This window comes from Homo sapiens, chromosome 7, assembly GCF_000001405.40.
Source record: "Homo sapiens chromosome 7, GRCh38.p14 Primary Assembly".
NCBI lineage: Eukaryota > Metazoa > Chordata > Mammalia > Primates > Hominidae > Homo > Homo sapiens.
The window spans coordinates 97,135,973-97,159,766 of NC_000007.14; the positions used below are offsets into that span (position 1 = coordinate 97,135,973).

General features: G+C 38.7%; 1 protein-coding gene and 1 long non-coding RNA gene across 2 annotated transcripts in view; both read left to right on the forward strand.

The window, feature by feature from the left end:
* Positions 1–23,794, forward strand: part of SDHAF3 (succinate dehydrogenase complex assembly factor 3) — a 64,066-nt gene that overhangs the window by 18,275 nt on the left and 21,997 nt on the right. The window lies entirely within an intron of this gene.
* Positions 416–21,488, forward strand: LOC107984034 (uncharacterized). The gene is made up of 3 exons (XR_001745291.1): positions 416–495; positions 6,701–6,846; positions 21,288–21,488. It is a non-coding gene; the product is annotated as an uncharacterized LOC107984034 (long non-coding RNA).

A 23,794-nucleotide genomic window follows, 5' to 3' on the forward strand; every position in this document is an offset into this window, starting at 1 on the left:
CACCATGCCCGGGCTAGTCCCTGTATATATTTTTAAAGAAGAATTTGGTAGGTTCATGATGATTAGGATAGATATAAATGTATTTGTCAGAGACTATCTTAAATATGCATTTCTATGCCATTTTCAGTTAATGTTTCACCTGCAATATTTGTCGAGCTGTTAGGACAAAGACTAATAGGAGTTTCTGAAGCTTGATACTCTTATAACTAACTATAACTAATTTAATACCCTTGAGTGTATTTCTGAAGAATTCTTTATAAACTGATTTTTTTTGAAACATAACTTTTAGGTATATTGGCAAACTTACTAATTAAAAGAGTTCTTTTGTGAATCCTTTTGAAAAGTGAATTATCAACCTGTAATTTGTTTCTTTGTGTAAACCTGTATTTGCATAAATCAAATTTGTTTTAAATAGGGTATGTCCAGAAATCTTGATGCATGTATCTGAAAAGAAAATTTCTGTTTCATGTGAAGAATTCCGATTTGGTACTTTCAGTAAGTAAGACCTGCCAGATTATTTTAGTTCCACTTTTTTTTAACAAAATGCTATCAAAATATTCTTTACAGCCTAAATTAAGGGGGTGGCAAGAGTTTATGTAAGATTGAACTATGTACAGTACGCTTCTAAACTGTATTTTCTTAAATAGTAATGGGTAGTGTGAAGTTTTGCAAAGTTTAAGAAGTTATTCAGAAGTTTTTTTCTCTTTTAAAAGCATAACTGGAATCTGAAATTATTTTGCTTTAGCTTAGTCTGTAGTTAAAAAAGTAGATGTATATGGTGCATTTAAATATAATGTTTGTTCACTTACTACTTACTATTGTTTGATTAATATCCAGCAATTTATTGCTCTGTGTAATACTTGGAAGATAGTAATGATAATTCATCTTCTTAGTTTGAATGCTTGAAATAGCCATAAGCAGTTACCTAGTCCTTAATATAATATAAAATGGTAGATTTATACTGAAAATATAAAATAAAATAAAATGTGATTCCTATTGTGTAATATTTAACTGCACCATTTTCTTTAAATATAGGGTTTTGTATTTTGTTTTGTTTTGTTTTTGGTTGTTTGTTTTTCAGGGCTGTCTGGGAGCCTCACTAGTATTTATTATATTCTTTCTTTGGGAAAGTATATACGAACTAAAGCTGAGAACATTGGGAACTTGTCCACATCTCTCACATCCTCTGCATAGCCTACTAGATTTACATTGTCAGTCAAAGGAGAACCCTTTCATGATCTAACATACGTTCTGTTAGAGCCCATGGAAATTAAATCCTTTCCTTGATAACTGAGGAGGGAGTCTGTGGGTTAGGGAACTCTTGGAAATTTCCTGGAAACTAGGAGAAACACTTGTAATATAAATCAGGCCAGCTATATTTGTCCATGACCTTAACAAGTTGAGAGTCAAGGATAATGCACAGGACATTATTAAGTTCAAAACTAGAAAGGAGACGAGATCAGGAGCGGAGGTTTCAAGATCAAGTTCAAGTCAAGGATATGGAGAAATTGTTCAAAATGTAGGCCTTGAACTATGTGAGGGTGTTCACACTATGTTGGAGAGAACTAGACAGAAGCAGCCCAACTGAGTTCAGTTGTTTACTCAGTTATTCAATGTCTACTATTTTTTAGGGGTTATGGATATTAGTACATAGTATCTTTAAGGACTTTATAAGCCTGCCACAAATCAATATGTGATAGGGTGAGACCCATTGTGTCTTAAAGAATAATAGTTGTGAATGCTGGTCTTTTGGCAGCGTGACAGTGATTTGGAGTATGAGTAGTATGAGTACAAGAGGGAAAGCGTCTCTCTTTCTTAGCTGTTGAATTTATGATTATCTACCAATATATCTACCATGTCACTTGCCATTCCTTCATATGCCCTCATTCCATTCGCTTTTTTTTTTTTTTTTTTTTTTTAGATGGAGTTTTGTTTTGTCGCCCAGGCTGGAGTGCAGTGGCACCATCTTGGCTCACCACAACCTCCATCTCCTGGGTCTGAGCAATTCTCCTGCCTCAGCCTCTTGAGTAGCTGGGATTACAGGCACGTGGCACCACACCCAGCTAATTTTGTATTTTTAGTAGGTTTCACCGCGTTGGCTAGTCTCGAACTCCTGACCTCAAGTGATCCACCCGCCTTGGCCTCCCAATGTGCTGGATCACAGGGGTGAGCCAGTGTGCCAAGCCCCACTGGCATTTTTTTTTTTTTCTTGACAGAGTCTTTGTTTCCCAGGCTGGAGTGCAGTGGCACAATCTCAGCTCACTGCAACGTCCGCCTCCCACGTATAAGCAATTCTCTTGCCTCAGCCTCCTGAGTAGCTGGGATTACAGGTGCCTGCCACCACACCTGGCTAATTTTTTGTGCGTTTTTAGTAGAGACAGGGTTTCACCACGTTGGCCAGGCTGGTTTCGAACTCCTCACCTCAGGTGATCCACCTGCCTTGGCCTCCCAAAGTTCTAGGATTACAGGCATGAGCCACCACTGCCCAGCCCTCATTGGCTTTTGAAGATCATTTTATCTTTGAGTTTATTTAAAAAATATGTATACCCATATGAGAGATTACATTTTAAATTTAATATGAGTAACACTTTTAATGATTATCTGACGTTGATTAACATCTAGCCACTTACTCTGTGACCTTGGGTAATTTGATTAACCATTCTAAGCCTTGGTTTCCTCATCAGTAAAATGGGCATAGCAACAGTACTTACCTCTAAGGTTAAGGATTAAATAAGATAGTATATGCATAATAGTTGTCCAGTGCCTTACACGTAGTAAGTGTTCCACAAATGTTAGATATTTTAGCTTTAATGTTGACACAGTATTTTTTTGGTGCTGCTTTGCCAGCTGGGGACCTCTGTGGGCAGTGACACCCCCATCTGGTCCCTGCTTGTGCCCAGGCTCACTGCAGGAGGCGCCTACCCACTAGGTCCATTGGACCATGCCTGGCTTGCACTCTGGCCCAGATCCTGTGCTTGTCACAGGATCCACACTCAGCCTGTGTCTGGGCCAGGTGTTCCCCAGCCTGCCTGTGCTACAGCTCATTCAGTCCCACTGCCCTGCTCCCAGCAGTGCCTCGAGGGCTGGCCTGGCCCTGCCGCTGCATCTCACTGCATGGGGGCGCTGCCCGGTGCCGGCAGAAGGCCACAGTGTTACAGCCTTTTTCCTACCTGTGTTCGGTGGTTCCTGAGTTCTTGTCCTGTGTCCAAGAAGAATGAGGTTACACTGACAACCGAAGGGTGAGAAGGGCAGAGAAGAGTTTTATTGAACAACAGAACAGTTCTCAGTGGAGAGGGGACTCAAAGTGAGTGGTCCCCCACCTGAAGGTGGGTAGTCCCCCACACCCGGAGATGGGCAGTTCCAAAATACGGCTGAGTCTGGGGCTTTTATGGGCTCAGAATGGGGGAGTGTATGCCGATTGGTTTGTGAGTATGCAAAAAAGGCTAAAACAAAGGCACCACTCAAAAGTAGGCATGACAGTGTAAAAAAGCCAATTAGGGAAGGGTGTATATATGTAAAATAGGTGAAGGGTGAGGATCAATCAGAGGAAAGAGCACCAGACAGGAAGAGAGGTTCTCAATCTGGCCTGTAGATGTATCTGAGACTCATAGCTTGACTTTTAGGCTTTAAACTGCCTTTGGTTTGAAATTGAGGTTTCACTGTGGACCTGCCCCTATCTGCCTAGGCATTTGTCTGCCTCCTGCTGCTATCAGTGTGGGGTAGGAAGTAGGTTGACAGGAAGGAGACAAGAATTCCAGGTAAGAGTGCTCTGAAAACAAATTTTGTAATTTTGTTATTCTTAATTAAGTCTTTCTTCTTTCTTATCCTCTGTATGCTGTTAGTTGCCAAATCCTGTTGACTGTTTTCTTTTACGGTATCAGAACTCTGACCTATTCTCTCCATTCCAATTGTCAGTACCTCTGGATGTTTGTAGTTATTTCATGAATAATCTTGCCTTTAGTCTCTTTTAACTGTCACCTTATAAAATACAACTTTGATCATTTTATTACCCTTGTCAAAACCCATCAGTGTTTTCCCATTGACCTCTCTTTAACGTGACATTAAAAACTGTGCAAAATCTGGCCCGAATATATTTTTCCTACCTTTATCTCAATGTTCTTTGTCATGAATTCTATGTTCTAGTCACTTAACTGAGCATTGCTCTCTGAAAGTGGCCTCAAGTTGTTTTGACTCTGACTGTTCATTTGGCTTAATGTTTTACTGTCTTTGTCTGCATGGCCAAACCCTAAAGTGTCTTTCAAAACAACCTTCATATGGTGCTGTCAATTCTTAATTGATTAATTCTTCAAATGGTAAGAAATCTCTATGTCTTAAATTTCCCTCAAGTTGTATTTTTCTCTTTTGGTAGTATTTTTTTTTTTTTTTTTTTTGAGATGGAGTCTCGCTCTGTCACCCAGGCTAGAGGGCAGTGGCGTGATCTTGGCTCACTGCAAGCTCCGCCTCCCGGGTTCACACCATTCTCCTGCCTCAGCCTCCTGAGTAGCTGGGACTACATGTTGCAGGAAGTCAGGGACCCCGAATGGAGGGACCAGCTGAAGCCATATCAGAAGAACATAAATCGTGAAGATTTCATGGACACTTATTAGTTCCCCAAATTAATACTTTTATAATTTCTTACGCCTGTCTTTACTGCAATCTCTGAACATAAATTGTGAAGATTTCATGGACACTTATCACTTCCCCAATCGATACCCTGTGATTTCCAATGCCTGTCTTTAATTTCTTAATCCCGTCATCTTCGCAAGCTGAGGAGGATGTATGTCGCCTCAGGACCCTGTGATGATTGCGTTAACTGCACAAATTGTTTGTAGAGCATGTGTGTTTGAACAATATGAAATCTGGGCACCTTGAAAAAAGAACAGGATAACAGCAATGTTCAGGGAACAAGGGAGATAACCTTAAACTCTGACTGCCAGTGAGCCGGGCGGAACAGAGCCATATTTCTCTTCTTTCAAAAGCAAATGGGAGAAATACCGCTGAATTCTTTTTCTCAGCAAGGAACATCCCTGAGAAAGAGAATGCATCCCTGAGGGGAGGCCTCTGAAATGGCTGCTTTGGGGATGGCTGTCTTTTACGGTCATAGCTGAGGGATGAAATAAGCCCCGGTCTCCCATAGCACTCCCAGGCTTATTAGGACGAGGAAATTCCCACCTAATAAATTTTGGTCAGACCGGTTGTCTGCTCTCAAACACTGTCTCCTGATAAGATGTTATCAATGACAATGCGTGCCGGAAACTTCATTAGCAATTTTAATTTCACCCCAGTTCTGTGGTCCTGTGATCTCGCCCTGCCTCCATTTATCTTGTGATATCTTATTACCTTGTGAAGCATGTGATCTCTGTGACCCACACCCTATTCGTACACTCCCTCCCCTTTTGAAAATCACTAATAAAAACTTGCTGGTTTTACAGCTCAGGGGGCATCACGGAACCTGCCAACATGTGATGTCTTCCCCGGACACCCAGCTTTAAAATTTCTCTCTTTTGTACTCTTTCCCTTTATTTCTCAGACTGGCCAACACTTAGGGAAAATAGAAAAGAACCTACATGAAATATCGGGGGTGAATTTCCCCCGATATCTGGCGCCCGATGTGGGGCTCGAACCCACGACCCTGAGATTAAGAGTCTCATGCTCTACTGACTAGCGCCTGCCATCACACCTGGCAATTTTTTTGTATTTTTAAGTAGAGATGGGGTTTCACTGTGTTAGCCAGGATGGTCTCTATCTCCTGACCTCGTGATCCTCCTGCCTTGGCCTCCCAAAGTGCTGGGATTACAGTCTCTTTTGGTACTTAATGTTATCTACATTGTATTATAGTTACTTATGTACACCTTTTTGCCACTAGTTGATGGTAAGTTCATTGAGAACAAAAACAATGTTCTACTTATCTTTGTAAAATTAATGGGACAGTAGTATGTTTTAATAGATGTTCAGTAAGTCTTTTTCTCCCCCAAAAGAAAAATGAGTGATTATTTTTTGACAAAGACCAAATATGCTAATTACCACAGCTGGATAAAAAGTTGAGCAATGAAATGTGTGAATTGTTGTCTTTTTTTTTTTTTTTTTTTTTTTTTTTTTGAGACAGTGTCTCGCCCTGTTGCCTGGGCTGGAGTGCAGTGGTGTGATCGTGGCTCACTCCAACCTCTGCCTCCCGAGTTCAAGCAATTCTCCTGCCTCAGCCTCCCGAGTAGCTGGGATTGCAGGCGCATACCACCACGCCTAGCTAATTTTTTGTATTTTTAGTAGAGACGGCATTTCACTATATTGGCCAGGCTGGTCTCAAACTCCTGACCTCGTGATCTGCCCACCTCGGCCTCCCAAAGTGCTAGGATTACAGGCGTGAGCCACCGCGCCTGGCCTGAATTGTAGTGTTTATAAAGATTAATAATGTAAACAAAGTCTTAAATTCTGAAATTGTATTTTATAAATATGTGAGAATTTAGGGCATTAGGCTTATTCCAAGCACTTTAATTCATGTCTTTATGTAGATAATACTGTCAACCCATTAGGCATATGATTGTATGCATAGCTGGTTCAGTTTTTAATTTTGTTTTTTTGCTATTTGGCTATTAATAAGCTTTTGTCTTTATAGAACTAGTATCAAGCATCTCTAGTTTCTAATTATTCAGAACAAGTTAAAGTAGCTTAATACTCCTGTTTCTTTTCCGATTTATTATAGGGTTTTAAGTGCCTAAAGTCAGGGAGAGAAAAGGAGACAGTATTTAAGGAATTTAAGATCTTGAAGTGGAAAAGGCCTAGAAGAGCCATAACTGCTGAGTCTTGGAAAGAAAATGAAACAGAGTGTCTGCATGCAGTTTCCTTAAGGTACAAATGAACACCACTATCTTCTCTCAGGAAGAAGGAGCAACTTTACAGGATTATTTTCTTCTTAAATTCTTTTTTTTTTTTTTTTTTTTTTTTTAGACAGAGTCTCACTCTGTTGCCCAGGCTGGAGTGCAGTGGTGTGATCTTGGCTCACTGCTGCAACCTCTGTCTCCTGGGTTCAAGCGATTCTCCCGCCTCAACCTCCCGAGTAGCTGGGATTACAGGCAGACGCCACCACATCTGGCGAATTTTTGTATTTTTAGTAGGAAGTTTCACCATGTTGGCCAGGCTGGTCTCGAACTCCTGGCCTCAAGTGATCCACCCACCTCCACCTCCCAAAGTGCTGGGATTACAGGAGTCAGCCACCACTCCCAGCCCCTTCTTAAATTCTTCTAAGAATATTTACTTTGTTTAAAAACTGGATTAATCTTTTCAAATATTAGAGACTGCTAGGGTAAGCTAATACCCTAGTCTGATACATTAATTTTTTTTTCTTTTTCCATAAGTTATTGATGTACTGGTGGTATTTGGTTACATGCGTAAGTTCTTTAGCGGTGATTTGTCAGATTTTGGTCCACCCATCACCCGAGCAGTATACACTGCACCATATTTGTAGTCTTTTATCCCTCACACCCCTCCCACTCTTTCCCCCAAGTCCCCAAAGTCCATTGTATCATTCTTATAGCCTTTGCATCCTCACAGCTTAGCTCCCACATATCAGTGAGAACATACAATATTTGTTTTTCCATTCGTGAGTTACGTCACTTGGAATGATAGTCTCCAGTCTCATCCAGGTCACTGCAAATGTTGTTAATTCATTCCTTTTTAGGGCTGAGTAGTGTTCCACTGTGTGTGTGTGTGTGTGTGTGTGTGTGTGTGTGTATACCAGTTTCTTTATCCACTCATTGATTGATGGGCATTTGGGTTGGTTCCACTATTTTGCAATTGTGAATTGTGCTGCTATAAACATGCATGTGCAAGTATCTTTTTCAAATAATGAAAAAGATTATCTTTTCCTCTGGGTAGATACCCAGTAGTGGGATTGCTGGATGAAATGGTAGTTCTACTTTTAATTCTTTAAGGAATCTCCACAGTGTTTTCCATAGTGGCTGTACTGGTTTACATTCCCACCAGCAGTGTAGAAGTGTCCGCTGATCACCGCATCCACGCCAACATCTATTATTTTTTTATTTTTTTTATTATGGCCATTCCTGCAGGAGCAAGATGGTATCACATTGTGGTTTTGATTTGCATTTCCCTGATCATTAGTGATGCTGAGCGTTTTTTCATATGGTCATCGGCCTTTTGTATATCTTCTTTTGAGAATTGTCTACTTACATTCTTTACTCTTTTTGATGGGATTGTTTGTTTTTTTCTTACTGATTTGTTTGAGTTCATTGTTGATTCTGGTTATTAGACCTTTGTCAGATGTATAGATTGTGAAGATTTTCTCCCACTCTTGTGTGTTGTCTGTTTGCTGACTGTCCTTTTCTCTTCAGTTTAATTAGGTCCCAGCTATTTATCTTTGTTTTTATTGCATTTGCTTTTGGGTTCTTGGTCATGAAATCCTAAGCCAATGTCTAGAAAGGTTTTTCCAGTGTTATCTTCTAGGATTTTTATAGTTTCAGGTCTTAGGTTTAAGTCCTTGATCCATCTTGAGTTGATTTTTGTATTAGGCAAGAGATGAGGATCCAGTTTCATTCTCTTACATGTGGCTAGCCAATTATTCTAGCACCATTTGTTGAAAAAGTTGTCCTTTCCCTGCTTTACTTTTTTGTTTGCTTTGTCGAAGATCAGTTGGCTGTAATATTTGGGTTTATTTCTGGGTTCCCTATTCTGTCCCATTGGTCTATGTGCCTGTTTTTATACCAGTATCATGCTGTTTTGGTGACTGTGGTCTCACAGTTTGAAATCATAGTGTGATGCCTGCAGATTTGTTCTTTTTGCTTAGTTTACTTTGGCTATGTGGGCTCTTCTTTGGTTTCATATGGATTTTAGAATTGTTTTTTGTAATTCTGTGAAGAATGATGGTGATATTTTGATGGGGATTGCACGGAATTTGTAGATTGCTTTTGGCAGTATGGTCATTTTCACAATATTGATGTTACCCATCCATGTGCATGGGGTGTGTTTCCCTTTGTGTGATCTGTGATTTCTCTCAGCAGTGTTTTGTAGTTTTCTTTGTAGAGGTCTTTCAACTCCTTGGTTAGGTATATTCCTAAGTATTTTTTGTTTTTTTTTTTTTGCAGCTATTGTAAAAGGAGTTGAGTTCTTGATTTGATTCTCCACTTGGTCGCTATTGGTGTATTGAAGAGCTACTGATTTGTGTACATTAATCTAGTATCTGGAAACTTTGCTGAATTCCTTTATCAGTTCTAGGAGCTTGATAACATTAATTTTGTGTGTACATGTAATTTCAGAAATTTCCACATGATGGCAGAAGATACTTATGTCTGGGAAGATGTAACTAAATGAAAACTAAATTTTATCTGAAGTAGTATTTGTCTTTTTACATTCTGACTAGTACATTTCATATTTGAATTGTCTGTTACAGATTTGTTGCCACTTTAACTATTTTATATATATGTTTTAACTAATTTTAAAAGGGAGTAAATATTTTTTCTACTATATACAATGTTAATCCATTTTTGAAGGCTTCATGAGTAATCACTGAATAGTGTTTAAATAATTGGTTTGGTAAAAGTCATTTTTCTTAGTAAGTTTAAGGGATACTGAAGGCATTTATTTACCAGTTCTAGATGAATATATGAAACCCAATATGTGAAATTTTATTTGACTTTATTTTAGAAATTAAGGAATTGGTTCAACATACATTCTTTTGTGTTACCTAGAATTTTGAATGACCACTTCATGGTCTCATTACCATTTTGAATCTTGCTTCCTTTCCCTGTCGCTGTCAAGTGTTCTCTTAAATTTTCTTTGTCTTAATTGAAGAAATTATTTCATTCAATAAACATTTATTAAATGCCTTCCATGTTTCAGATCCTGCTCTATAGCCTGATGATTCATAGTAATTCAAAACCCCAACAGAGAGAGAATCTTCGTTTTCGGGATTTCCCAGTCTTGGAAGGCAGATAGCCATCAAACACATGATTGTTTTTGAGTAAATTTTTGTAGTTCTTACTACAATAAAATATATTTATAATAAAAATTTTAAGGAAGATGCAGCTTTATAGTTAGCAGATTAATTGTGAAATTATGAGTTATATCATTGATGACCTGGAAAAGATAAAAATAGAGATTTGGAAATTTTGTGAAAACTTAAATAGGCTTTCCCCCCCCCACTTTTGAACGCTAGATGACAGATAATTTAGTTTAAAAAGCAAAGAGATAACATGACATTTTTTATTTTTGGCCAGTAATATTCTGGCCTTTTTAAATGTGCTGATGTTTTGTCCTGTCTATTATTAGTTTGGTTGTATAATTTGTTGTCAAAACTGTGACATTTGTGGGAGTAAAAGAAGCACTAAAATCACATCATACACACATTTTTGAAATGTGTATTTATTGACATATAAATTGTGTTTATTATGTTGTTAGAACTATGAAACAGTTCTTTATAACTTCTCAAAAATTTTCCAAAATATAAAACATTTGTATATTTGAAGGCAAAACACTTTTTATTGTGATCGTATAAATGTTACAAAAAGAACATAAAATAATTGTTCTTGAGACATATTTATGTACTTTCTATCTGTTCCTGTCTGTAATACAGTGTCACTTTTTTTCTCTGAAGAATACAGATTTTGCAATTTGGTTTTAATTTTTTTAATTGCCTGATATCTTTTTTGAAGTTACATTTTATGATTAATAGAGAAAACTATTCTGCTATAGATATTGGGATACCAAAGAAACTCAGCAAATTTTGCCCAATGGAGGAGATTCTCAAATCAATATTTTTTTGCATTTAAATTATAAATAGTTAAGCCCAAAGATTTTAATAGGTACCTTTTTTTTTTTTTTTTGAGATGGAGTCTCACTCTGTCGCCCAGGCCAGAGTGCAGTGGCGCAATCTGGGCTCACTGCAAACTCCACCTCCCGGGTTGATGCCATTCTCACGCCTGGCTAATTTTTTGTATTTTTAGTAGAGACGGGGTTTCACCGTGTTAGCCAGGATAGTCTTGATCTCCTGACCTCGTGATCCACCCACCTCAGCCTTCCAAAGTGCTGGGATTACAGGCGTGAGCCACTGCGCCCGGCCAATAGGTACTCTTATTGTCTCCATTTAGATTAGTTTTCTCTGACAGATATTTCTGTAGGATAAAACTTGTCAGATAAATTATCTGTATTTAGGATTATTTTAAACGTTTTGCCAAATTCACATGCTTCAAAATCATAGGCCTTTTCAATTTTCTTCTATTTGGGTATGAATATAAGTATACGCAGTTATAACTAGGAGTTCCTTCAAAAGATTGTTTTCAGAAGTTGAGATAGATACACAATTATAGAATTTCAAAATTAGATCTTGTGCATTATTTGTGCTCTCATAATTCATTGTTTCTTCTTTCAGTAAATTTGTCTTCTAGTTATAAGCTTTGTTTTCAAAAACACTTCATTAAAAGCTTAAGCTTTTTGTTTATTTGTCCAGTACTTTGATTAAATAATTCCTACTGATTTGAACAAAATGCAACCAAAATCTAGGGAACTAGTTTATAAGAAATTTCAGCATCATTGTAGGGTACTTAGGTTGATTTGCAAATTAGTTCTGAAAAGGCTCCAGGGTTTCTAAAATCTATATGATAGGCAGCCCAAAAGGAAAGCTCATGCTGCCATGGGGGAGTGCTTGTGCTCAATAGCAGTCTTGTTACAAAAATTTTATATATTACTCTTACTGTATAAATACAGATTTTTAGCCAAGTGTCAATTTGACAGCAGATTCTGTTTTGATTATTAGAATGTCACAGTTTGGGCATGGTTATAAATTGTGTACGCACCACCAATTGCATGTACATTCCTCTCAAAGACTCTAATAAGAACATTGTTTCTTACTTTGGTACTCTGCTCCACCAAAATGTGTTATCACTGTAAAAAATAATTTTATCTTCAGTGGTGAACTTTTTATTTATTTATTTATTTTTATTTTTATGTTTTTTGAGACAGAGTCTTGCCGTGTCTCCCAGGCTGCAGTGCAGGCTCACGGCAACCTCTCTCACTCCCAGGTTCAAGCAATTCTCATACCTCAGCCTCCCAAGTAGCTGGGATTACAGGCACATGCTACCATGCTCAGATAATTTTTGTAGAGACGGGGTTTCACCATGTCGTCAAGCTGGTCCCGAACTCCAGACCCCAAGTGATCCACCTCAGCCTCCCAAAGTGCTAGGATTACAGATGTGAGCCACTGCTGAACTTTTTAAAAACTGAATTTACAATAACACGATAACATCAGATGTTTCACCTTTAAGAATGAATTTCCAGCCGGGCACAGTGGCTTGCAACTATAATCCTAGCACTTTGGGAGGCTGAAGCGGGAGGGCCACTTGAAGCCAGGAGATGGAGACCAGTCTGGGCAACAAAGTGAGACCTTGTCTCTACAACAATGTTTTAAAAATTAGCCAGGCATGACAGCTCATGCCTGTAGGCCCAGCTGCCCAGGATGCCGAGGCTGGAGGATTGCTTGAGCCCAGAAGTTTGAGGCTGAAGCCAGCTATGATTGCCCTACTGTACTCCAGCCTGGGCGAAAAAGCAAGACCCTGTCTCTTAAAAATAAAAATAAACAAATAGTCACCAGTAGTTTTACTTTGACTCCATGAATTTGATAAACAATTCACCCTGTTCCTAGATTTAATTTAACTGGTTTTTCCATTTGAAGCATCTACTATCACTGATATAAAGCTAACAGCATTCAACTTTTTTCAAAGTAGTTCTTTTGTTAACAGTCTAACAACTATTGCTTTACTTTTTATATGTGCGTAAGATAACCTAGAATAAAAATGAGTGAAATTAACTTAGATGATTAGTGATTTGATCTAAATGAAAAAATTGTGCTTCTCAGTGTAATATGTAAATATATATTATCTGTAGCTATACCTATTGTCTCCATGTACAGTAATTTAAAAAGTAGATTCTGATGCACAATCAGTAGATTTGTGTCTTTTTTTTTTTTTTTCTGAAACAGGATCTCACTCTGTCTCACAGGCTGGAGTGCAGTGGCATGATTTTGGCTCACTGCAGCCTCAACTTCCCAGGCCAAAGTGATCCTCCCACCTGCGCCTCCTGAGTAGCTGGGACTACAGGCGTGCACCATCACACCTGGCTATTTTTTTTCTATTTTTTTTGTAGAGACATGGGTCTCACTATGTTACCCAGGTTTTGGTCTTGAACTCCTGGGCTCAAGCGATTCTTCCGCTTTGTCTTCCCAAAGTGCTGGGATTACAGGTGTGAGCCACCGTGCCTGGCTGATTTGTGTCTTTTGATATACATTTAGTCTGTGAGATTGGAGTAGTCTCCATGTTGCATGTTTATTATCAACTGGTTTTTAGAAATAAAAATTTCAGTTTTTCACTCAAGATACACTTTTTTTTTTAAAGCTTACTGGTGCCAGAAGGGTTAGTTGCAAAATAAAAAGCATTGCCAAACAATACATAGTTGCAGATTTGTACTATATACTAAATGGCAAAACCACTGTAGTAGGAGCAAACTGCACATGTATACCTTGGAGATATTGTGATAAAAAGCAAATATTGCAATAAAATGAGCCATGTGGGTTTTTTGGTTTCCCAATGCATATAAAAGTTATGTTTACACTATTATCTACTAAGTGTGTCGTAGCATTGTCTTAAAATAGAATATACATGCCTTAATTTAAAAATATTGCTGAAAATGCTAATGATTGTCTGTCAGCAAGTCATAATATTTTTACTGATCAAGAATCTTGCCTCAATGTTGACGGCTGCTGAATGATGAGGGGGGTAGTTGCTGAAGTTTAGGGTAGCTGTGGCAATTTCTTAAAATAAGACCACAATAAAGTGTGCTGCATTAATTGACACTTTCAGGAAAGATTGATCTGTAGCATGCAATGCTGTTTGATGGCATTTTATGCACAGTAGTCATTTTTTTCAAAGTTGAAGTCTATCCCCTCAAAGTCCTCTTGCTGCTTTATCAATTAAGTTTATGTAATATTCTAAATCCTTTGTTGTCATTTCAGCACTGTTCACGCATCCTTGCCAGGAGTAGATTCCATTTGAAGAAATCACTTTCTTTGCTCATCCATAAGAGAGAACTCAGCCATTCAACTTTTATAATCAGATTACAGCAAGTCAGTTACATCTTCAGGCTCCACTTCTGAAGTAGAGTTCTCTTATTGTTTCCACCACATCTGCAGTTACTTACTCCACTGAATTCTCAAACTTTTCAAAGTCATCCATGAGGGTTGGAATCAGCTTCTTCCAAACTCCTGTTAATGTTGATAGTTTGATCTGCTCCCATGAATCACAAATGCTGTTAATCGCATCTAGAATGGTGAATCCTTTCCAGGAGTTTTTCAATTTACTTTGTCCAGATCCATCAGAGGAATCACTATCTATGTCAGCTATAGTCTTTCAAAATGTATTTTTAAAATAAGACTTGAAAGTCAAAATTACTTGATCCGTGGGGCTACATAATGGTTGTTGTATTAGTAGGCATGAAAACATTATTAATCTCCTTGTATAGCTCCATCAGAGCTTTTGGGTGACCAGGTGCATTGTCAGTGAGCAGTAATATTTTGAAAGGAATCTTTTTTTCCTTTTTTTTTTTTTTTTTTTGAGATGGGGTCTCGCTCTGTCCCCCAGGCTGGAGTGCAGTGGCCTGATCTCAGCTCACTGTAAGCTCTGCCACCCGGGTTCACGCCATTCTCCTGCCTCAGCCTCCCGAGTAGCTGGGACTACAGGCGCCCACCACCACACCCGGATAATTTTTTGTATTTTTAGTAGAGACGGGATTTCACTTGTTAGCCAGGATAGTCTCGATCTCCTGACCTTGTGATCCTTCCGCCATGGCCTCCCAAAGTGCTGGGATTACAGGTGTGAGCCACCGCACCCGGCCTAGGAATCTTTTTCTGATCAGTAGTCTGAATAGCGGGGTTAAAATACTCAGTAGCTGGGACTACAGGCCTGCACCACTGCGCCTGGCTGTCAGTTGTTTGTTAGTGTGTTTTAAGACTTAATATATTAAGATTAGTTTTAGGTTCTTGGCAAAATTAAGAGGAAAGCACAGAGATTTTCCATATACCTTCTGCCCCAACATATGCATAACCTCTCCCATTATCAGCATCCCCCACTGGAGTAGTACATTTGTTACAATAGATGAACAAACTGTAGGGGTGACGGGAACTTTTACTGCACACTCCGAAGTTTCTGTAGTTGAATCTGTGATAAACTGAAAGCAGACAGATTAATAGGAGAAAGGCATACGGATTTATTATGTGCATATACACGAGAGTCTCACAAAATAAAAGACTCAGAAAGGCCAGATGATTGGAATTTTTATAATATCTGTAGCTGCAGAAAGAAATAGGGGCTTGGGGCTTCTAGGGAGTGGAGGTGAGGACAGACAGGCTTTGGGAGGGTGAGGGGAAGAAATCTAGGGAACAAAGGTTGTCTTGCTACATAGATTAAAATATCTCGGGGAGCAGCCCTCCAAAGAATGGGTAAAGCTGCTCTGGGTGAGGTTGCTAACCTTTAGTCCTTTTTTTTTTTTTGAGTTGGAGTCTCCCTCTGTCCCCCAGGCTGGAGTGCAGTGGCACAATCTCCGCTCACTGCAAGCTCTGCCCCCCGGGTTCCTGCCATTCTCCTGCCTCAGCCTCCCGAGTAGCTGGGACTACAGGCGCTTGCCACCATGCCTGGCTAATTTTTTTGTATTTTTAGTAGAGACGGGGTTTCACAGTGTTCACCAGGATGGTCCCAATCTTCTGACCTCGTGATCTGCCTGCCTCGGCCTCCCAAAGTGCTGGGATTACAGGCATGAGCCACCACGCTCGGCCAACCTTTAGTCTCTTTTTCCTGTGGTACGGTCTTTCCAGATCCATCTTTAGGCAGATTAGGGGTCCTCAGAGAAAACTTCAGCTTGCATCCACTGGTTCCCTGCTGTTCCCCAGTCATGATACCAAAGAGCCTTACTTTGGGGTATCATTTTCTGAGCCCCAATACTACATTGACACATTAAGATCACCCAGAGTTCATCATTTACATGTAGGGTTTACTCTTGTTTTCTTACTTTCTGTGAGTTTAGACAAATGTATAACGACATGTATCCATCTTTATAGTAGTATATAGTATATTTTCACTGCCCTAAAAATTCTCTCTGCCCTGCCGGTTCATCCCCCTCACCAACCTCTGATAACCCACAACTGTAACCCCCAATGGGTTCTACTTGCCTTCTGCCAGATGAAGCCAATTTATCAAGATGGGAATTGCAATAGAGAAACTGTTTCATACACATAGAGCCAACTAAATTGGAGACTGGAGTTTTGGTATTACTCATATCAGCCTCCCTGAAAATTTGGAAGCTAGGGTTTTTGAAAGATAGTTTGGCAGGCATGGACTAGGGAATGGGAAATGCTGATTGGTTAAGTTAGGGATGAAATAATAGGGAGTTGAATCTGTCCTCTTGCATGGAGTCAGTTCCTGGGTGGGAGGTCACAAGACCAGATATCCCAGTTTATGGGTCTGGGTAACACCAGTGGATCCATTAGAATGCAGGGTCTGAAAAATATGTCAAACATCAGTCTTAGGTTTTACAGTAGTAATGTTATCCATAGGAGCAATTGAGGAGGTTAGGAAGTTTATGGCCTCTGACTGCGTGACTTCTGAGCCATTATTTTGTTTATTTATTTATTTATTTATTTATTTTGAGATGGAGTCTCGCTCTTTCGCCCAGGCTGGATTGCAATGGCGCAATCTCAGGTCACTGCAACCCCTGCCTCCCAGGTTCAAGCGATCCTTGTGCCTCAGCCTCCTGAGTAGCTGGGACTACAGATGTGTGCCACCATGCCCAGCAAATTTTTGTAGGCGTGGTGGTTTAGTAGAGACAGGGTTTTGCCATCTTGGCCAGTCTTGAACTCCTGACCTCAAGCAATGGTCTCCCGCCATGCCCGCCATGGCCTCCCAAAGTGCTGGGATTACAGGCATGAACCACTGCATCTGGCCCTGAGCCATTATTTCTTATTTTGTGGCAAATTTGTTAGTTTTACAAAGGTGATCTAGTCTCCAAGCAAGGAGGATGTTTGTTTTGGGGAGGGCCTGTCACTGTCTTTGTTTCAAAATTAAAGTGTAAATTCCTCACAAAGTTAGCTAGACCTACACCTAGGAATGAACAAGGGCAGTTGGGAGGTTAAAGTCACGATGCAGTTGATTAGGTCATATCTCTTTTGCTGTCATAATTTTCTCACTTGTAATTTTTGCAAAGGTGGTTTCTCCACTGATCTGTGTACTCTCACCCTAGTTTTGCCTTTTCTGGCGTGTTACATGTTGGAATCATACAGAATGTAGCCTTTTCAAATTGGCTTCTTGGCTGCTTTTATTTGGTAATATGCGTTTAAGTTTCCTATGTGTCTTTTCATGGCTTGATCATTTCTTTTTAGCTCTGATAAATATTTCATTGTCTGGGTGTACTGCAGTTTGTTCATTTACCTACTGAAGGATATCCTGGTTGCTTCCAAGTTTTGTCAATTATGAATGAAGCTGCAGTAAACATCCGTTTGCAGGGTTTTGAGTGTACATAATTTTTCAACTTCTTTGGATAAATACCAAGGAATGCAATTGCTGGATCATATGGTAAGAGTATGTTTAGTTTTGTTAGAAATTGTAAAGTGTCTTCCAAAGTGGCTGTACCATTTTACATTTCCACCAGCGGTGAATGAGAGTTTCTGTAGCATATCCTTGCCAGCGTTTTGGTGACCATTTTATATTTCCACCAGCAGTGAATGAGAGTTTCTGTAGCATATCCTTGCCAGCGTTTTAGTGACCGTTTTACATTTCCACCAGCAGTGAATGAGAGTTTCTGTAGTGTATCCTTGCCAGCATTTTGGTGGTCTCAGTGTTTTGGATGTTGGCTGTTTTAATTAAGGTGTATAGTGATATCTCGTGTTTTAATTCATGTTTTCCTAATTGTCACATGCATCCGTGTGAAGAGACCACCAAACAGGCTTTGTGTGAGCAACAAGGCTGTTTATTTCACCTGAGTGCAGGCAGGCTGAGTCCAAAAAGAGAGTCAGCAAAGGGTGGTGGGATTATCATTAGTTCTTATAGGTTTTGGGATAGGCGGTGGAGTTAGGAGCAATGTTTTGCAGGCAGGGGGTGGATCTCATAAAGTACATTCTCAAGGGTGGGGAGAATTACAAAGAACCTTCTTAAGGGTGGGGGAGATTACAAAGAACCTTCTTAAGGGTGGGGGAGATTACAAAGTACATTGATGAGTTAGAGTGGGGCAGAAACAAATCACAATGGTGGAATGTCATCAGTTAAGGCTATTTTCACTTCTTTTGTGGATCTTCATTTGCTTCAGGCCATCTGGATGTATATGTGCAGGTCACAATGGCTTAGCTTGGGTTAAGAGGCCTGACACTAATGACTAGTGATGATGAACATCTTGTGCTTATTTTTCACCTTTATATTGTCTTTGGTGAAATGTTGCTCATTTATTTTGCCCATTTTCCAATTGGATTTTTTTTTTCCAATTTTGAGAGTTTTTGATACATTCTAAATGCTAGTCCTTTGTCAGTTATGTGGTTTGCAAATATTTTCTCCTAGGCTGTAGTTTGTTTTTTTATCCTTTTAACACAGTCTTTTTCAGAGCAGAAGTTTTAAATTTTGATGAAACCCAGTTTATCATTTTTTCCTTTTTGGGGTTATTCTTTTGGTGTCAAGTATAAGAACTCTTTACCTACTTCTAGGTCCTGAAGATTTGCTCCTGTTTTGTTTTTTGTTTTTATTTTTATTTTTGATAACTTTATGTTTTACATTTAAGCCCATGATCTATTTTGAATTAACTTTTCCATATGATTTGAAGTTTTAGGTCAAGGTTTATTTATTTTTTGCTTAGGGATATCCAGTTGCTTCAGCGTAATTTGTTAAAAGACTATTTCTCCTGCATTTAATTACTCGGGTACCTTAGTAAAAAATCAATTAGGCATATTTGTCAGTCTAGTGTTTTCTTTCTATTCCATGTCTGTTAGCTGTCACACTGCCTTGTTACCTGTGGCAATACATTAATCCTTAACATCAGAAAGAGTTACTCCTTTCACTTAATTCATCTATTTCAAAATTGCTTTGGCTATAATAGAACCTTATTTTCCACTGTACATTTTATAATAAGCTTGTCTTTATGTACAAAAAACATATCTGGGATTTTGATTGGAATTGCATTAAACGAGGTCAATTTGGGGAGCATTAATATCTTTTCTGTGCTGCATTGCTTCAATTTTAAAATTTAAATTTAAATTAAAATGAAATCAAATCAAGAATTGAGTTCCTCATTCAGTCTCAGTAATAATGTTTCAAGTGCTCAGTAGTCATCTTGGTTTGTGGCTTCTCTATTGGACAGTGTAGCTCTGGACTCCTGTGCATACTGGTCCTTGTTTCTTGAACACCTTCCTTTGATTTAGCTTGGCCAACTTCTTATCCTTTTAGACTTAGCTTAGATGGCACATTTTCCTGGAAACCTTTTCTGCCCCATGCCTCATTTCTCAGCCCAAGTGCTCCCACTGAACTTTGTTCATTTCTATTTATGGCAATTATTATGCACTTGCTGCTCTTCATTATATTGTGTGGTGATTAACTACCTTATTACTTGTTTGCTTTCCCACTAAATTATAAGCTGCTTTAAATCAGAAATTGTGAGATCATCTTTATATCCTTAGCATTTGATATTTGGTGTATATACAATAAGTAACTGGGGATATATGGACAGTAGTATCACATCTAGTTATTTACATGGTGACTACTTATTTTCTAGAATTGTAGTCTCTAAACTTTTGGAGCATATATATTTATATATATTATAAATTCTGAACTGTCTTACAATTAGCTAATATCCGAAGCATGATACATTACCTAGTGGGGAGTGTTCATTAATAAAGTAGATATCAATTTGCATTCCAAGTAGTCTTCTTGATATTTTTGAAAGTTTTAGGTTGTTTTTAGACTTAATTATATTGCCATTTTTTTAAAAAGTATGGTACGTGTGTCATAACTAATGAACTAATATTGACACAGTATTGCTAACTAAAGTCCATTCTTATTCACATTTAGCCTAGTCTTTATTCACATTAACTTAGGTCATTAGCCTAATGACCTTTTTCTGTTCCAGGATTCCACCCAGGAGATCACATTATATTTAGTTGTCATGTCACCTTAGCGCTCTAGGCTGTGAGAGTTTCTCAGCCTTTCCCTGTTTTTGATGACCTTGACAGTTTTGAAGGTACACATAGTCTTTTGTAGAATGTCCCCCAGCTGGGATTTCTCTAATGTCTTTCTCATGAAAAAACTGGGGTTTTGAGTTGGTGGGATGAAAGCCATAGAGGTAAAGTGCCATTCCCACCATATCAGGTGTACATTATTGCCATTGTTTTTACCTCATTAATGTGGCTGATGAGCTTGCACTAATAGTTGGAAAAGTATTCTCCACTGTTATCTTTTGCTTGTGCTTGCATTGTTAATGTTGTCTTCAGAACATTCTTTATGGGCATCTTTTGAAGTTATCTGTCCATTTTAGGGGTTAGTTTAATTAAACTAGATAATATAAATTTAAATCCATTTAACTGACATATCAAACTGTAGCACATATAAATAGCATACATCAAAAGTAAATACAGGGGTATAGGTGGAGGTTTCTTCAGTGCAGGGGAACAGGAGAACTTCTGTTCTTCCCTCATATTATTTATTGCCTGTATTCTACATGTCCTAGACTGTATGTTACACAGTCATGAGGATGCTAAGGATAATCTATAAATATTAATAAAAAAAATTTCTTTTTTAATGTTTTACATATATATTTTTTTAGAGTGAATTATGTTTTTAATTATACTTTTAAGTTCTGGGGTACATGCGCACAACGTGCAGGTTTGTTACACAGGTATACATGTGCCATGTTGGTTTGCTGCACCCATCAACTCGTCATTTACATTAGGTATTTCTCTTAATGCTATCCCTCCCCCAGTCCCCCAGCCCCTGACAGGCCCCTCCCTGTGTCCATGTATTCTCATTGTTCACCTCCCACTTTTAAGTGAGAACATGTGGTGTTTGGTTTTCTAACCAGAAATTTTAAATACGAATTCTGTTATTTTTCCCCTTACCCTAGTGGATTGCCTTGCTGTGTATAATCTCTGTATCCCTGGGGTACTGACATTTGACTCTGGATACTAATTGTCTAGTAGAGTACTAAAAGAATTTCAAAAGTTGTCATTTTACTGGCTTCCTGAGTTGATTCTTTTTTACATTCTCTAGACTTTTTCAAGTTAGACTTCTGTACCTGGTATCCTTGCTGTGACAGTTCCCTTCTATTTCCTGACAAACAAGGTGGGTTGTATATTGGAATTCCAACCTTGTAGTTAGTTAGAACCCTGGGAATCCTTACAGAAATGCAAATCAAAACCACAGTGAGATACCATCTCACACCAGTTAGAATGGCGATCATTAAAAAGTCAGGAAACAACAGGTGCTGGAGAGGATGTGGAGAAATAGGAACACTTTTACACTGTTGGTGGGACTGTAAACTAGTTCAGCCATTGTGGAAGTCAGTGTGGTGATTCCTCAAGGATCTAGAACTAGAAATACCATTTGACCCAGCAGTCCCATTACTGGGTATATACCCAAAGGATTATAAATCATGCTGCTATAAAGACACATGCATACGTATGTTTATTGTGGCACTATTCACAATAGCAAAGACTTGGAACCAACCCAAATGTCCAACAATGATAGACTGGATTAAGAAAATGTGGCACATGCATACCATGAAATGCTATGCAGCCATAAAAAATGATTTCATGTCCTTTGTAGGGACATGGATGAAGCTGGAAACCATCATTCTCAGCAAACTATCCCAAGGACAAAAAACCAAACACCGCATGTTCTCACTCATAGGTGGGAATTGAACAATGAGAACACATGGACACAGGAAGGGGAACATCACACACTGGGGCCTGTTGTGGGGTGGGGGGTGGGGGAAGGGATAGGATTAGGAGATATACCTAATGTTAAATGATGAGTTAATCATGATGAGTTAATCATGGTGTGCCATGAGCACACCAACATGGCACATGTATACATATGTAACTAACCTGCACGTTGTGCACAGGTTAACTTAAAGTATAAAAAAAAAAATACAATCATTGCTAGGTTACTTGTCTTAAAATTTCCTTTTGGGGGCTAGGTTAATTGAGAGAACACTTTTAGCAGGCTAACAGTTACATTTCCACGAATATAGAATATGAAAGCTTTTACCCATGAACCTTTTTTTGTTGTTTAATGTTTCCATTTCTTCTGATCCTATAAACATCTTAGTTTCCCCGTGTTTTTGTTTGTTTGTTTGAGACAAAGTCTCACTCTGTTGCCCAGGCTGGAGTGCAGTGGCACAATCTCGGCTCATTGCAACCTCTGTCTCCCGGGTTCAAGCGATTCTCATGCCCCAGCCTCCTGAGTAGCTAGGATTACAGGTGCCTGCCACCACGCTAGCTAATTTTTGTATTTTTAATAGAGACGGGGTTTCACCATGTTGGCCAGGCTGGTCTCAAACTCACCTCAGGTGATCTACCCGCCTCAGCCTCTCAAAGTGCTGGGATTACAGATGTGAGCCACTGCACCCAGCGAGTTTCCCCATGTTTATGAGTAATTCTTTGAAATGGAAAGATGCATGACCAGTGTCATTGGAAAAAATAATTAAAAAATAATATAGACCAGGATCACTATAAGAAACCCAGTGTATGGACTATGACCTTAAACTGTGATAAAATAGGACTAACAGGAGATTTTTAACTTTAGCTAACTTTTTAGGAACAAACTATTTCATTCTGTAGTTAATTTAAAAATACTTCAACTTATAAAAATTTGATTCATGAAGCTTTAAAATTGTTACAGTGTAAGGCTCAATGTAAATTATTGAAAAATGTATACACGTGTAAACAACCTGTTTTTTTCTTTTTTCTGTTTACTGTTAGCAATTCAATGGTATAAGGAAAGTATACTTGCTGAGATTCTAATTGAACAGAACATAGTATAAAGTTACACATTTTTATTTAAATAAGTTCTCTATTATTTTCCAGCAAAATGGCATACACGTCTTTTAGATTCCTTCAAGTCTGTATTATTCACATAATTAGTGCCAGCCTCTATAACAAATAATTCCAAAGTCTTAGTGGCTTAATATGATAAAAATGTATGTCTTGTTCTTAAAACATAGTTTGTAGATGTTCCTGTTGAGGCAGCTCTCCTGGGGGTAATCTCCTCTAAGCAGTGATGCTAGAATCTAAACTTCCTTAACATTTTAGACTTGTAGCCATGTGTATGACCTTTTAGATTTCCAGAAATATGTGGGTGCTTTTCAAAGCTTTATTCACCAGAGCATCACATTCACCAGACTTTCCTCCCAAGTTTTTTGGTTAGTCTGTTGTTTTCCCCCAATATCCCTTGCCCCAGGCAGCACTGACTAACATTTGCTTTACATATTTTTGTTGAAGTTTCCCAAATAGCCCCCTCAGCACAGGGAGAGTTCTAAGTCAAGCAAGAGAAAGGCAGTCCCTTTGAGCTTGTCCTCCAGGAAATCACCAAATAAGTCATAACAAACAACCCCAATTTTTTTTTTCTTTTTATTAAAGAATAAGGCCTATTCAGTTCCCTCTGGTACTGAGTATGTCTACCAGGAGTGTGGGCTGATGTCTTCAAGGCCACTGGTCATCTGGGGAACATGGAAGTAGATAAGAGTGAGTTAAAAAGCCACGAAACTGTCCTACTGA